At 41.3% G+C, this 13,563-nt stretch overlaps 1 annotated feature.

Moving 5' to 3' along the window:
* Positions 11,058–12,257: an enhancer, noted in NCBI's record as "BRD4-independent group 4 enhancer chr7:68652106-68653305 (GRCh37/hg19 assembly coordinates)". NCBI's record gives its function as "activates an origin of replication core promoter dependent on BRD2, P300/CBP, MED14 and CDK7 cofactors, and independent of BRD4, by STARR-seq in HCT116 cells {active_cell/tissue: HCT116}" and the evidence as "EXISTENCE:reporter gene assay evidence [ECO:0000049][PMID:35650434]".

Consider the following 13,563-nt stretch of genomic DNA (forward strand, 5'->3'; position numbering starts at 1 on the left):
CCTTATGAGAATCTAATGCCTGATGATCTGGCACTGTCTCCCATCACTTCCAGATGGGACCATCTACTTGCAGGAAAACAAGTTCAGGGCTCCCACTGATTCTACATGACAGCAAATTGTATAATTATTTTGTTATATATTACAATGTGATAATAATAGAAATAAAGTGCACAATAAATATAATGCCCTTGAATCATCCTGAAACCATCCCCCCCACCTCCGCTGTCTGTGGAAAAATTGTTTTCCACCAAACTAGTCCCTGGTGCCAAAAAGGTTGGGGACTGTTGTATTAGAACAGACAGAGGACAGCTCTGTTGAGGGGTCTCAAGAACATAAAGGGCCCAGGCAAGTCATAAGCAGATAAATAAAAGTAAGAAATTAAGGTCTACTATGACAAGTCACTAAAATTGAACATAGAGGCTAGGTGCAGTGGTTCACACCTATAATTCCAGCACCTTTGGAGGCTGAGGCAGGAGAATTGCTTGAGGCCAGGAATTTGAGACCAGCCTGGGCAACATAGCAAGACCCTGTCTCTACAAAAAAAAAAATTAAATTGAATCTAGTGATAAATCCAGCTAGCAAATTGTTCTCTGCAAACTGAGCCCGTGAAGTCTTGTCATAGATTATTTAAATCTACAACTTGTATGAGCTGCAAAATAGATTGACAAAATCAGAAGCTGTCCTTTTTCTAGTCACTCTTCTTTGCCTTCTCTGAGTCTGCTTTTAGAATTTCACATGGCAGGTAGGCACTGCAATATTCTGGGCCCAAAAATATTTTTCAGGAAACCAAGGTCGAAATATCAACCTGTCAGACGTTGTCTTAGGTTATTAGCCTGTCTGGTGGCTGCCTTGCAGAAGCTGGCTGGAAATCTGACCAGGTATGTGTTTCCCCCCTCTTTCCCTATATATTTCCTTTCTTTACCCAGCATATTTTCCTAGGATTATGATTCACATATTTAAAATTAGAGCAGAAAAAGTGGGGGAAAGAGGTGATTTATGTTCTTTCCCCATTCCTAGCAATGTTTAGCCTCTGGAATCTAGATTAACAATGTGATGTGCTGAGATCCTGAAGGAAAATGAAAGAGAGAGGAGGAAGAAAAGGAGGAGGATGAATTGAAGAAGATGGAGCTCACTGCAAATTATATTTCCAGTTCCCAGACTTAGAAGGACATTGCAACTGAAATTGCTTGTGCTTGTAAAATTCTATCATGCTCAAAGAACCTCTTTTTATAGATGAAATCAGGTTTAACAGACGAATGTTGTGCCTCAAATTAATTAGAATAAATTCGTTCCCTAATGAAATATACCATCAACCATGAAAAAAAAAACCTAAAGGGTAAGAAGTATTAATGTGTCGATTAAGAGGAATGATGATAAGGATGTCAGTTTATGGAAAGTAACGCTGTGTCTATATACACAGATGGCTTTGAAAGACATAGACTCTTCCAACACTTGGATCACAACCAACCAGTTACAAACTGCTTGGTTGCTTGACTGAATTCAGCTGGTTTGTTTTGAAAATAACCCACACTCTGCCTAACATCATCACTTTCCAAACCACTTTGCTGGGTGCTAGCTTCACGTGTCTGCCTAAGCTCAAACTGTTGATGGATGACACTTGGGAATTGGCTGAAGAAGAGAGTTAACAGAACGTCCTGAAATCAGGAGAGAACTAAACAAGAGCTGTGGCAGAAAGCCAGCTTCAGTCGAAGAGAGATACCAAACCGAGACAGTGGAAGTGTCAGAAAGAAAAATGGGTGATTCTAGAAAATTCCATCCTAAAACATGTCAAGGGAGCTGGGTTTTTCCTAGGCACCAGTGCTCAGGGGGCAATCCTTGAAAACAGGAAGAAGGAACCAGCTTGGTGATCTGGTCTTTCCATACGGGAATTTAGCGAGATGGGATAGTCAATGACACCTTGGCACTCTCCCCGACGTGGAATGTCATTCTTATTTTCATAATCCAGAAGTTTTTAAGAACAGAACTGTTGATGTACTGCTCAACTGACTTTTAGTTAGTTCCAAGAGAAAGATGGAGAAGTCCACAGAGAGCCGGCTCTTATTCTAAACAGCTGGGATGGAGTTGGAATGACATGAATGTAGACATTCACTTCTAGCATCTCACAGTATTCACACAGCTCCAGAGAAAGGCAGGGGGACTAATTCCTTTCTAATTAGTCACAGAAGCTTTTGATAAGAGCCCCAAGAGGTCCATGGCCCCAAATATCACTTGACACATGAGCACGTGAGTCGCTAAATGCATCCTGGATGAGATGGATAGGTGGTGCCAAGTCCTAAATCTCCTATGGGGTTTCCTTTGACAGCCCACTCTTATGATTTAGGGCACCATCGGTGGCCCTGGTTTGATTCATCACTTGGTAATTCATCTTCCCCAACAAGCTATGGTTCCTGTTTTGTAACGCCCTTCCATTCTTCTCCTTTGAAGAGAGACAGAAACAGTGATAAAAGGCAGGCTTTGGAACAGAATTCTAGATTTTTCCTTCCAGAATTAGCCCTCGATAAAAAGAAGAAACAAACAGACAACGAAATCAACTTAAAGAAAGACTGTACCTATAGACAAAACAATGACCATTTACATCAAATATGCCACCTGCATTATTTCACGTGTTTGTATAAGTCCCCTGACCAGCCATAGCAACATATGAACAAGTGAGTGGATTTTTCCATCTGAACATTCTGACTACTTAAAAGTTAAAAACACATATGGGTTTTTGTTTTTTTGTTTGTTTGTTTTGTTCTATTTTGTTTTTGAGATGGAGTCTTGCTGTCTCCCAGGCTGGAGTGCAGTGGCGCCACCTCGGCTCACTGCAACATCCGCCTCCCAGGTTCAAGCAATTCTCCTACCTCAGCCTCCCGAGTAGCTGGGACTACAGGCTTGCACCACCATGTCTGGCTAAATTTTTTGTATTTTAGTAGAGACACGGTTTTTCCATGTTTCCCAGGGTGGTCTCATACTCCTGAGCTCAGGCAATCCACCTGACTCAGCCTCCCAACATAAGGGTTTTTAAAGGAAAATTATATTTTGACTCTTATGTATATAAAGTCGTTAATATATTATGTCTCACAATTCTGTCCTACAAGTTATTACTGCCATTTTTTTTTTTTTTTGAGACAGGGTCTGCCTCCGTTGCCCTGGCTGGGGTGAAGTGGCATGATCTCAGCTCACTCCAGCTTTGGCCTCCTGGGCTCAAGTGGTCCTCCCACCTCAGCCTCCCCAGTAGCTAGGACTATAGGCATGCACCACCACACCTGACTAATTTTAGTACTTTTTGTAGAGATGGGATTCCACCATGTTGCTCAGGCTGGTCTCAAACTCCTGAGTTCAAGCGATCCTCCTACCTTGGCCTCCCAAAGTGCTGGGATTACAGGCGTTAGCCACCACGCCCAGCCGTTACTGCCATTTTGAATTTTGTTATGTATTATCTGCTTTGGCATTTGTAAGTCCCTATACTTCTTGCTTTTACAACATTTGTAAGCAATACTTACCGTGCTTTTATTATAGAAGCAATGTATATGCATTATAGTGAGCTTGGAAAAATAACATTTCAGGCTAATATAAAGAAAAAATGCTTAGTATACTACTATTACTGTATAATAGAAATAATCATCATTTACAACTTGTTAAATTTTGTATATTTACATATAACATACATATTAGATAAAATGTTTAAATATTAGGGTCATCTAATCTAAGGGTAACATAGTAACATGTTGCTTTTCTCTGTAAACTACCCTCATACTCTAGTCAGCCCTAATCAGCCTGTAATAAACTCTATCAGTCTGAAGGGAGTTTATTAGCGAAATAAAGCATAAAGGACACTGAAGTAAAATTCAGCTTTTGAAATTCAAAAATGGGATTCTGCATCAGACAGTACCTTGCAACCCGAGGCATGTTCTGAAGAAAGGTTTGTCTAAATCTCATAATCTCCCCTACCCTAACACAACCCAAGCCAACTATTTTTATCATTTAGATTGCAGGTTTTTATTTAAGAGACATACAGATGGAAAGAGGAAAGGGGAAATCTCACCCTCTAATATAGATGTGCCAATTTTCCCCTCTCCAGCCTGAGAAGGGCAGCTATACAGATGAATGAAGGTGTTACAGGAGGCAGATATATGGATAAATGAAGGTATTACAGAGTGCAAAGGAGACCCCAGACTACATTTGCCATCTACGACTCTACTTCTGAGTTTTGCCTCTCATGTTTCCCCAGCACCATCTTGGGGTGCAGTCACATGAATCTCGCTGCAGAGTATCAGTCAGACAGGGAGACACCCTGAGATTTGGCTCTCCGGAGCTGTCCTGGGTTCCCAGGTAGCAAGGATATGCAGTAGAGAGCCAGATGGGCTGCCCAGGGGTATGAAAGAGCAGGGTGGGTATATTAGTCTGTTCTCATGCTGCTATAAGGACATACCTGAGACTGGGTAATTTATAAAGAAAAGAAGTTTAATTGACTCATAGTCCCGCATGGCTAGGGAGGCCTAAGATGTTTAGATCCACAGATTTTAAACTTGGCTAAGTTTTTATTCATGTTTGAAGGTAGAAGCAAAATATTATAGAAAATGTAAGGATCTAGGAAATTTACCAACTACTTGCTCTTTGTGGGAAAAAATGGTTTTGGAAGACATTGTCTAACTGACCTAGAGCTAAATCAATATTATGAACTCATAAAAGTCAGTGCTCTGACATGCTTTGTATATAAAAATGAAACTTAACAATCATAGTCAAAGGCACCTCTTCACAGGGTGGCAGGAGAGAGAATGGATGCTGAGCAAAGGGGGAAGTCCCTTATAAAACCATCAGCTCTCATGGGAACTCACTCACTATCACAAGACCAGCATCAGGAAAACTGCCTCCGTGATTCAATTATCTCCACCTGGTCTTGCCCTTGACACATGGGGATTACTACAATTCAAGGTGAGATTTGGGTGGAGACACAGAGCCAAACCATATCAGTGGGCCTTCTGCAGAGCTGAGATGGGCCCCCAGGTCAGCAGCCTGGATGAAGGATGAGGCAGAAGTTCCAGGATCATTTTTTTCTTGAGACAGGGTCTCCCTGTGTTGCCCAGGCTGGAGTGCAGTAGTGTGATCATAGCTCACTACGGCCTCAAAGTCCTAGGCTGAAGCAATCCTCCTACCTCAGCCTCCCAAGTAGCTGGGACTACAGGCACACACCATCATGCTGAGCTAATTTTTATTTTTTTGGAGTGACAGGGGTCTTGCTATGTTTCCCCAGCTGATCTGTAACTCCTGGCCTCAAGCAATCCTCTCACTTCGGCCTCCCAAAGCTCTGAGATTACAGGAATGAGCCACTGTGCCTGGCTAGGGGTCATTTTTTATACAAAGGGTGTCAGAACACTGATTTTTTTTTTTTTTTGAGATGGAGTCTCACTCTGTTGCCCAGGCTGGTGTGCAGTGGCCCTATCTCAGCTCACTGCAACCTCCACCTCCCAGGTTCAAGCGATTCTCCTGCCTCAGCCTCCCCAGTAGCTGGGACTACAGGTGTGTGCCACCACACTCAGCTAATTTTTAGTATTTTTTAGTAGAGACGGGGTTTCACCGTGTTAGCCAGGATGGTCTCGATCTCCTCACCTCATGATCCACCTGCCTCGGCCTCCCAAAGTGCTGGGATTGCAGGCGTGAGCCACTGTGCCCAGCCAGAGCACTGACATTTATGAGTTCATAATATTGATTTAGCTCTAGGTCAATCAGACAATGTCTTCCAAAACAATTTTTGTTCCCACAAAGAGCAAGTAGTTGGTAAATTTCCTAGATCCTTACATTTTCTAGAATATTTTGCTTCTACCTTCAACCACAAATAAAAATTCAGGCAAGTTTAAAATTCAAGGATCTAAACATCTTTCCTGTAAAACCTGGGGTGAAAGTGATTATTTTCCTGCCTAGATATTCCTAGATATTTGCAAACTCTTGTATGGCTTGTTTTTTTGTTTTGTTTTTGTTTTTGTTTTTTTGATACAGGGCGTCACTCTGTCACCCTGGCTGGAGTACAGTGGCACAGACATTGCTCATTTCAACCTCCAAATCCTGAGCTTAAATGTTCCTCTGCCTCAACCTCCTGAGTAGCTGGGACTACCAGGCATGTGCTACCATGTCTGGTTAACTTTCTTATTTTTTGTAGAGATGGGAGTCTCACCATGTTACCCAGGCTGGTCTCCACCTCCTGGGCTCAAGCTATCCTCCCTCCTCAGCCTCCCAAAGTGCTGGGATTACAGGCATAAGCCACTGCACCAGGCCTGTGTGGCTTATTTTAATTCTTATAATTTTTTTTTAATTGCTAGAATATGAGTGTGTGTGTGTGTGTGTGTGTGTGTGTGTGTGTGTGTGTTACCTGTAATATAACAAACCATTTCGATCTTTAAATTCAGATATTTTTCCAGATTCATATAGATTAATCCTTAAACATACTTTTTTACATTTTCTTCCATTTGTCCTGTTTCTTTCCTCAGAAATCTCTATCATTCTTAAGGTTTCTGTATGTATGATCCATATCTGCCTAATTCTTCTGGCTTTTATCTCTTAGTTTTTTTTCTCCTGAACTCTGAGAGCTTCTCAAGTTTGTCTTCTATGTCATTGTGTTTTTTTATCTTAATACCGTATATCAGTTTCCTTGATTTCTTCTGCTAATTTCTCTTTCTTCCTGTTTGTCTCAGCTTGCTAAATCTGAATCTCATCCTGTTAAACCCTTCACCTCTTCCACTTCCTTCTTATGATTTTGCTTCCTCTTTGATCAAGGCAGTCTTCCTGCAACTATTGTGGTCACCAAACTGTTTTCGAAAAGGTTGTCTTTGTTCTTTCAGTAAATATTTCCAGAACTATATTTTTCTACTTAGTATACCAAGAGCTTCTGCCCTTTCCTTATTCTTCAGCATTTTTTTCACCTAGCCTATGTGAATTATTCTTTAATGTTCTCATCTTGAAAATAGGAAAGCATACCTATATTTGGAGTTCTCAAGAGATTTCATGTGAACGTCTTTGGGCTCTACTCACAAGTCCCATAAGTGCCAGGATGTCCCCTTTTCTTTAGATCAGAATGACTTGAATGAGGTTCCCTCAATCAGTGGCTACTTTTACATCGTTTAGCCTACTGATTTAATATATTGAGTCCCTGCGTGATGCAAAACGTTGGAAGCTACTTTGAGGTTATAGTTCTTAAGAATAATTATAACAGTAGTAGTAAGAAGACTCTCCCTTAGAAAGCCCCTTGACATCATCTTAGGTGATCTTTACCTAGGTTTAGATCAGAGAAGGGGATGTCCTGGCCCTTATGGGGCTTGTGAATGCCTAAATGATCCCAGTTCATTCTTAAGGATCTTACATACATTCATCTAGTCCTAATTTTCTGTTTTCTCCCATCCCCAAAGCTTGGTCTTCTACCCTTAAGAAATAATGGAGGCCCGGTGCAGTGACTCATGCCTGTAATCCCAGCACTTTGGGAGGCCGAGGCAGGTGGATCGCTTGAGGCCAGGAGTTTGAGACTAGCCTGGCCAACATGGCAAAACCCCATCTCTACTAAAAATACAAAAATTATCCAGGCATGATGGTACACACTTGTAATCCCAGCTACTTGGGAGGCTGAGTTGGGAGAATTGCTTGAACCCGGGAGGTGGAAGTTGCAGTAAGCAGAGATCATGCCACTGCACTCCAGACTGGGTGACAGAGTGAGACTCCATCTAAAAAAAAGAAAGAAAGAAAAAAGAAAAAGCAAGAAAGAATGGAATATAGACTTATTGGATAGCATTTGTATGTAGTAAAAATTAGACCTAAAAGTTTATAATGGATCAAATACAGCAGACATATATTTCTAGCTCATGTAAGAGTTCAAGAGCTCCTGAACAAGAAGCAGCTCTCCTCCATGCAGTGATTCTGGGACTCAAGTTCCTTGAGTCTCCATCCAGAAGACGGAGGAAAGGAAAGAGAACAAGGAGGAGACACACTCTCCTCTCAAAAGTCTTGGTCTAGGATGAGCACAAATCACTTCCACTCACATTTCATTGGAAATAACTAAATCATGACCATATTCAGCTTTGAGAGAAGTCTAGCTACGTGTTTAGAAAAAGGAAAAGGAGACTGATGTGGGTGAACAAGTCTGCCACAACATTAGAAACTATCACCACCAGTACATACTGCTATGCATATTTTTCCTGCCTTCTCCCCTGGTCACCATTATTTTTCTTGGTTGTAAAAAATATAACTCTCAAATTCATCTACTATGGCTCCTGTGGCTCCTTCTCTTCCTGGCTATTTTGAGTAAGATGGCCCATCCATCCCAACCTCAGCCCCTGGGGTGCAAATTCTAAAACCAGCCCAGGGAGCCTCAGATCATACTAGAAATTAATCAGAGAAAATGACAAGGAGAGGAGGAAGTGGCCAACGTAAGCTAATTCCTCTTCTCTGCTTGTTTCAGAAGACTCATATTTTCTCTGGCAACAGACGCAAAACAAAGCAAGTCAACACACCCCCAACTCAACAGTTCTCAACGTGTGGTCCTCGGGTCAGAGCCTTAGCCTCATCTGTGTACTTATTAGAAATGCAAATTTTCAGGCTCCACTCCTGACCTGTTGAATTAGAAACTCGGGAATAAGGCTCAGCAATCTGTTTGAACAAGCCCTTCAGGTGATTCTGTTATACACTAAAGTTGGAGAACCACTACTCTAAATAAAGCATGGCTGTGACCCGGGCCCTAGCAAGGAACCCTATGTGAACTAGCAGCAGTTTATTTTCATTGTAAGCACAACATGTAAGAGGAATGAAATTCTAATCTTATGAAACTGAAAGTACAGAATGATGATAGTAAAACTCAAAGCTCTATTCCGACTTATGAGGGAAACTTTTAAAATTAAAGTCTTCATTAAATAGGAAGATTTCATCACTCACAAATGGTTGCTTGTTTTCCTTAAGGCTAGTTATCCCATGCCCTGTGCTAAATCAACATGACCATTGGTGATAAACACAGAGACATAAAATATCTGATGTGAAAGGAATTTCGGTGACCATCAAGTCAATCCCCTTTATTTTATTTTATTTATTTATTTATTTTGAGATGGAGTCTCGCTCACTCTCCCAGACTGGAGTGCTGTGGTGCGATCTCAGCTCATGGCAACCTCCACCTCCTGTGTTCAAACATTCCCCTGCCTCAGCCTTCCAAGAAACTGGGATTACAGGTGTGCACCACCACCATGCCCAGCTACTTTTTGAATTTTCAGTAGACACAGGGTTTCACCATGTTGGCCAGTCTGGTCTCGAACTCCTCACGTGATCCACCTGCCTCGGCCTCCCAAAATGCTGAGATTACAGGCCTAAGCCACCACGCCTGGCCAGATCCTCTTTATTTCAGAAACTGGAAAACTGAGGTCCAGGAAGAGTAAGTGGATTTTCCAAGGTCCCTCCCTCTGGGTGCAGGGAGAGCCAGAACTAGTGCCCAAAACTCCTGATTCTGAACCCAAGCACTCATTCTGCCTACATCATCTCATGCAATCATGTTTGTGAAATCCTCTGAAACATACAAAGTGCAAAGTGGTTGCATTCTATTAATATCAAATTGGGTTGGGATAATTTGAATTCCAAATCTTAAAGAGCCAAAGTTAAACGTGTGTGCAAATTTGTTCTCTAAGCCCTGTCCAAACGCAAATAAAAAATGAATGAACAGTATCGTCATAGAATTATAGAGCACTTTGGAGCATTAATGTTGATATTAAGAAATGTAGTGGAAAAGCATCAGGCAGTACGCTCTGATATCTCCTTTTCACGTTTTCCTCTAAAATGCCTGTGGTATCATAGAGATTTCAGATACATTTCCACCAACTGTAAGACCAATGGGCCTGAATAGGGAACAGGAATCTGTGGGTTCTATAGACCTCATTTCACAAAGAAACGCATTGTAAAAGAAAGCGGGAAACGTGATTTTTCTCTCACTGTCCCAAGAAACTAGAACAAAAGCAACAAGAAATCTGGATCGCACAGATGGTACATAAAACACTCTTACCTGCCACTTTCCCCTGCCTCAGTCTTCCCACATCATTTCAACAACCCTTCAGAGACAGCGCCTCCTAGGAACCCACTGGCTGACCTGATCAGAGACGTTCAGTTTCCGAATGCAGTAAGAGCCAGAGTCATGCGCTGTGGCAGAGCTAGAACATGTCAGAGATGGAGAGCAAGCGAGGCAGTAATGGGCTTGTGTCCCAGGTCACTGATAAATGGAGTTGGGTGACCCTGAGTTGGTTTTATAGGTGGTCTTGCTGCCTAGTACCCCGTTGGCTCAGACAGGGCTGTAATAGCCTCGGGAACCCTGTTTACCTTGCAGTTGCCTTTCCCCAGGAGCGGTGTTCCATCCCGTTTATTTTTTAGGGTGTGAGCTAAAATAGTCATCTCCCTGCTCTGACTTGGGAATCTTTTCCTTTTTTTTTTTTTTTTTTTTTTTTTTTTTTTGAGACAGAGTCTCGCTCTGTCGCCCAGGCTGGAGTGCAGTGGCGCCATCTCTCCGCTTACTGCAAGCTCCGCCTCCCAGGTTCACGCCATTCTCCTGCCTCAGCCTCCTGAGTAGCTGGAACTACAGGCGCCCGCCACCACGCCCAGCTAATTTTTTGTATTTTTAGTAGAGACGGGGTTTCACCATGTTAGTCAGGATGGTCTGGATCTCCTGACCTCATGATCCACCCGCCTCGGCCTCCCAAAGTGCTGGGATTACAGGCGTGAGCCATCACGCCCGGCCGGGAATCATTTTTTAATAGCTTTATTTATATATAATTCACATACCATACAATTCATCCATTGAAATTGTACATTTCAATGGTGTTTAGTATATTCACAGATCTGTGCAACCATAGCCACAATTTTAGAACTATTTCATCACCTTTAAAAGAAACCCTATGCTCTTTCACTATCACCTTTCTATTCCCACATCCTTCCCAGCTTTAAGCAACCACTAATTTACTTTATCCATAGATTTCCTTGTTATGAACATAATATGAATGGAGTCATATAGCATGTGGTCTTTTTTGATTGGCTTCTTTCACTCGGCATAGCGTTTGTATGAGTCATTCATGTCGTAATAGGTACCAGTGCGTCATTCCTTTTCATTGCTGAATACTATTCCACTGTATGAATTTAACTGCATTTTATGTATCCATTCTTCAGCTGATGAACATTTGGGTGGTTTCCGCCTTTTTTCCATTATGAATCATAGAACTGGAATCTTAGAATTGTCATCCAGTCTAAGGGAAAAAAAATTTTTGAATTAGGTAATTTCCTTAATAACTGGCTACTTTTACATTATTTAGCCTATTGATTTAATGTATTGAGCCCCTGCAAAATGTAAAACACATTGGAAGCTACTTTGAGGTTATAATTCTTAAGAATATTTATAACAGTAGTAGTAATGTCTCTCTTACAAAGCCCCTTGACATTATTTTAGATAATCTCTATAACACTACAAATCTGATATTACCAGTCCCCTTTCATAGAAGACATAAACTCTGATAATTCAGGATCACTAGAAGACAGTTTGGAAGACTTCTAGTCCAGTCTCTTGGAACGATATATTTTCATATCATTTTCATAGGAAAGAAATCCTTTTAGAACCATTTTCCATAACAAGGCTTTTACAGTCCTAGGTTCTGAAGACAAGCCTATTTCCCCTACTCTAAATTCCATATCTCTTTTTCTACCTTGTAAAACATCACCTTTTGCCTTTTATCATCACATCTGGGTTTAGGGTTATTCTCTTTGCCGGTAGTCCATAGGAGAAAGATTGCATCAGAAGTCCTCTGAGACGGCTGCTAGCCCTAAAGGTTCTGTAGCATTTTATTCACAGATGTGGAATGATTCCACCATTAAAACAGTGCCCGTGGCCTTCCTATCAGTGGTTCCTTTCTGTGAGTCTGCGTAAACTCAATAGAAATGCTGGCCATGTGGACTCCTGCTGGGTGGACCTGGAATCACAGGAAGCCAGAGTCTTGGGTGGGTCAATGCCAGGGAGGGTCATGTGTTTGCTACAGGAATAATATCATGAGGAAGGGAGACTCCCACCAGAGCAGGGAATGAGTGAGAACTCAGAAGGCAAAGAGATGAGTCAGAGGCTGGAAATGGAAAGAAACATAAGATGAGTTAGGCCTGTAGATGAATCAAGGTAACTGAAGTCTTAGTTATGTTGTATCTTCGTGTCTTTCTGGAAAGCAGAGTTGTCTAACAACCTAAATGTCCATCAGTTGTGACAAATTAAACTATGGTAAATCCACACTCTCAGTTCTTTAAACAGTGGTAGAAAGCTACACATTTTTCTGGGAAGATATTCGTGGTATAGTATTGAGTAAAAACAGGTTATGAAACACCATGAATATTATGTCATTCATGTAAAAATGTGTGTGTATGAATATATGTGTATATGATTATGTGTGTGTATATGTGTATGTAATTATGTGTGTGTATCTGTGCACTTGTGTATATAATTTTATGTCTCTAAGTAGAAATGCACATAAAGAGATCGCTGGCAGCTTAAATGAATATTTACCAAAATTAAAATTGCTCTCAGAATAAGAGGATTTTCTGGTGATTTTTTTACTTTTCATTTAGCACTTTCTATATTATTTTGCTACTATCTTCTCCTTAAAACTTACTAAATGCTCAAAATCTACAGTCTACTTTAAGATAATACTATTGACCAGATATTCACTATTTGCTAGTTACATGCATTATCTTGGCAGGACTTCACAGCAATTCTCAGAAGTAAAATATTATTATTTTTTGAATGAGGCAAGCAGGACTTTAGAATGTTGAGAAATTGATCCACAGTCACATAGCAAGCAAATGACAGAGCTGGAACAGTAATGTCAGACTAACTCCACAGTAGACGCCCTCAATCACTGTACCATACTACGATAAAGAATACAAGAAATACAGGCCTTCTCTAGTAAGGACCATGACAATCCATGAGCATCATTTCCCATGTTACTTCTTCTCCAGGGACACAGTGAGAAGATTATTAAGAACTCGAATCAGCCTTGACAAGGAAGGTTCAGCACTCACAAACCTATTCAAAATTGAGTGATTTAATCCTCTTCATATACCAATGTGATGATTACTTTTATGTGTCAACTTGACTGGGCTAAGGGATGCCCAGATGGCTAGTAAAACATTATTTCCGGGTTCATCTATGAAGATGTTTCTGGAAGAGATTAGGATTTGAGTCAGTATCAGACCGAGTAAAGAAGATTGGCCCTCACCAATGTGGAAGGACACCATCTAATCCATTGAGGGCCTGAATGGTACAAAAAGGTAGAGAAAGGGCAAATTAACACTTTCTTTTTGAGCTGAGACATCAATCTTCTGCTTTCAGACATCAGAGCTCTGGGTTCTTGGGCCTTTGAACTCTAGGACTTACAGCAGCGGCACCCCCAGTTCTCAGGCCTTCAGATTTAAACCAGGAGTTAACATCATCAGCTCCCCTGATTCTCAGGTCTTCAGGCTTAGACTGAATTACGCCACGGGCTTTCCTGGGTCTCCAGGTTGCAGGTGGCAGATGGTGGA

This window comes from Homo sapiens, chromosome 7 (genome assembly GCF_000001405.40).
Source record: "Homo sapiens chromosome 7, GRCh38.p14 Primary Assembly".
NCBI lineage: Eukaryota > Metazoa > Chordata > Mammalia > Primates > Hominidae > Homo > Homo sapiens.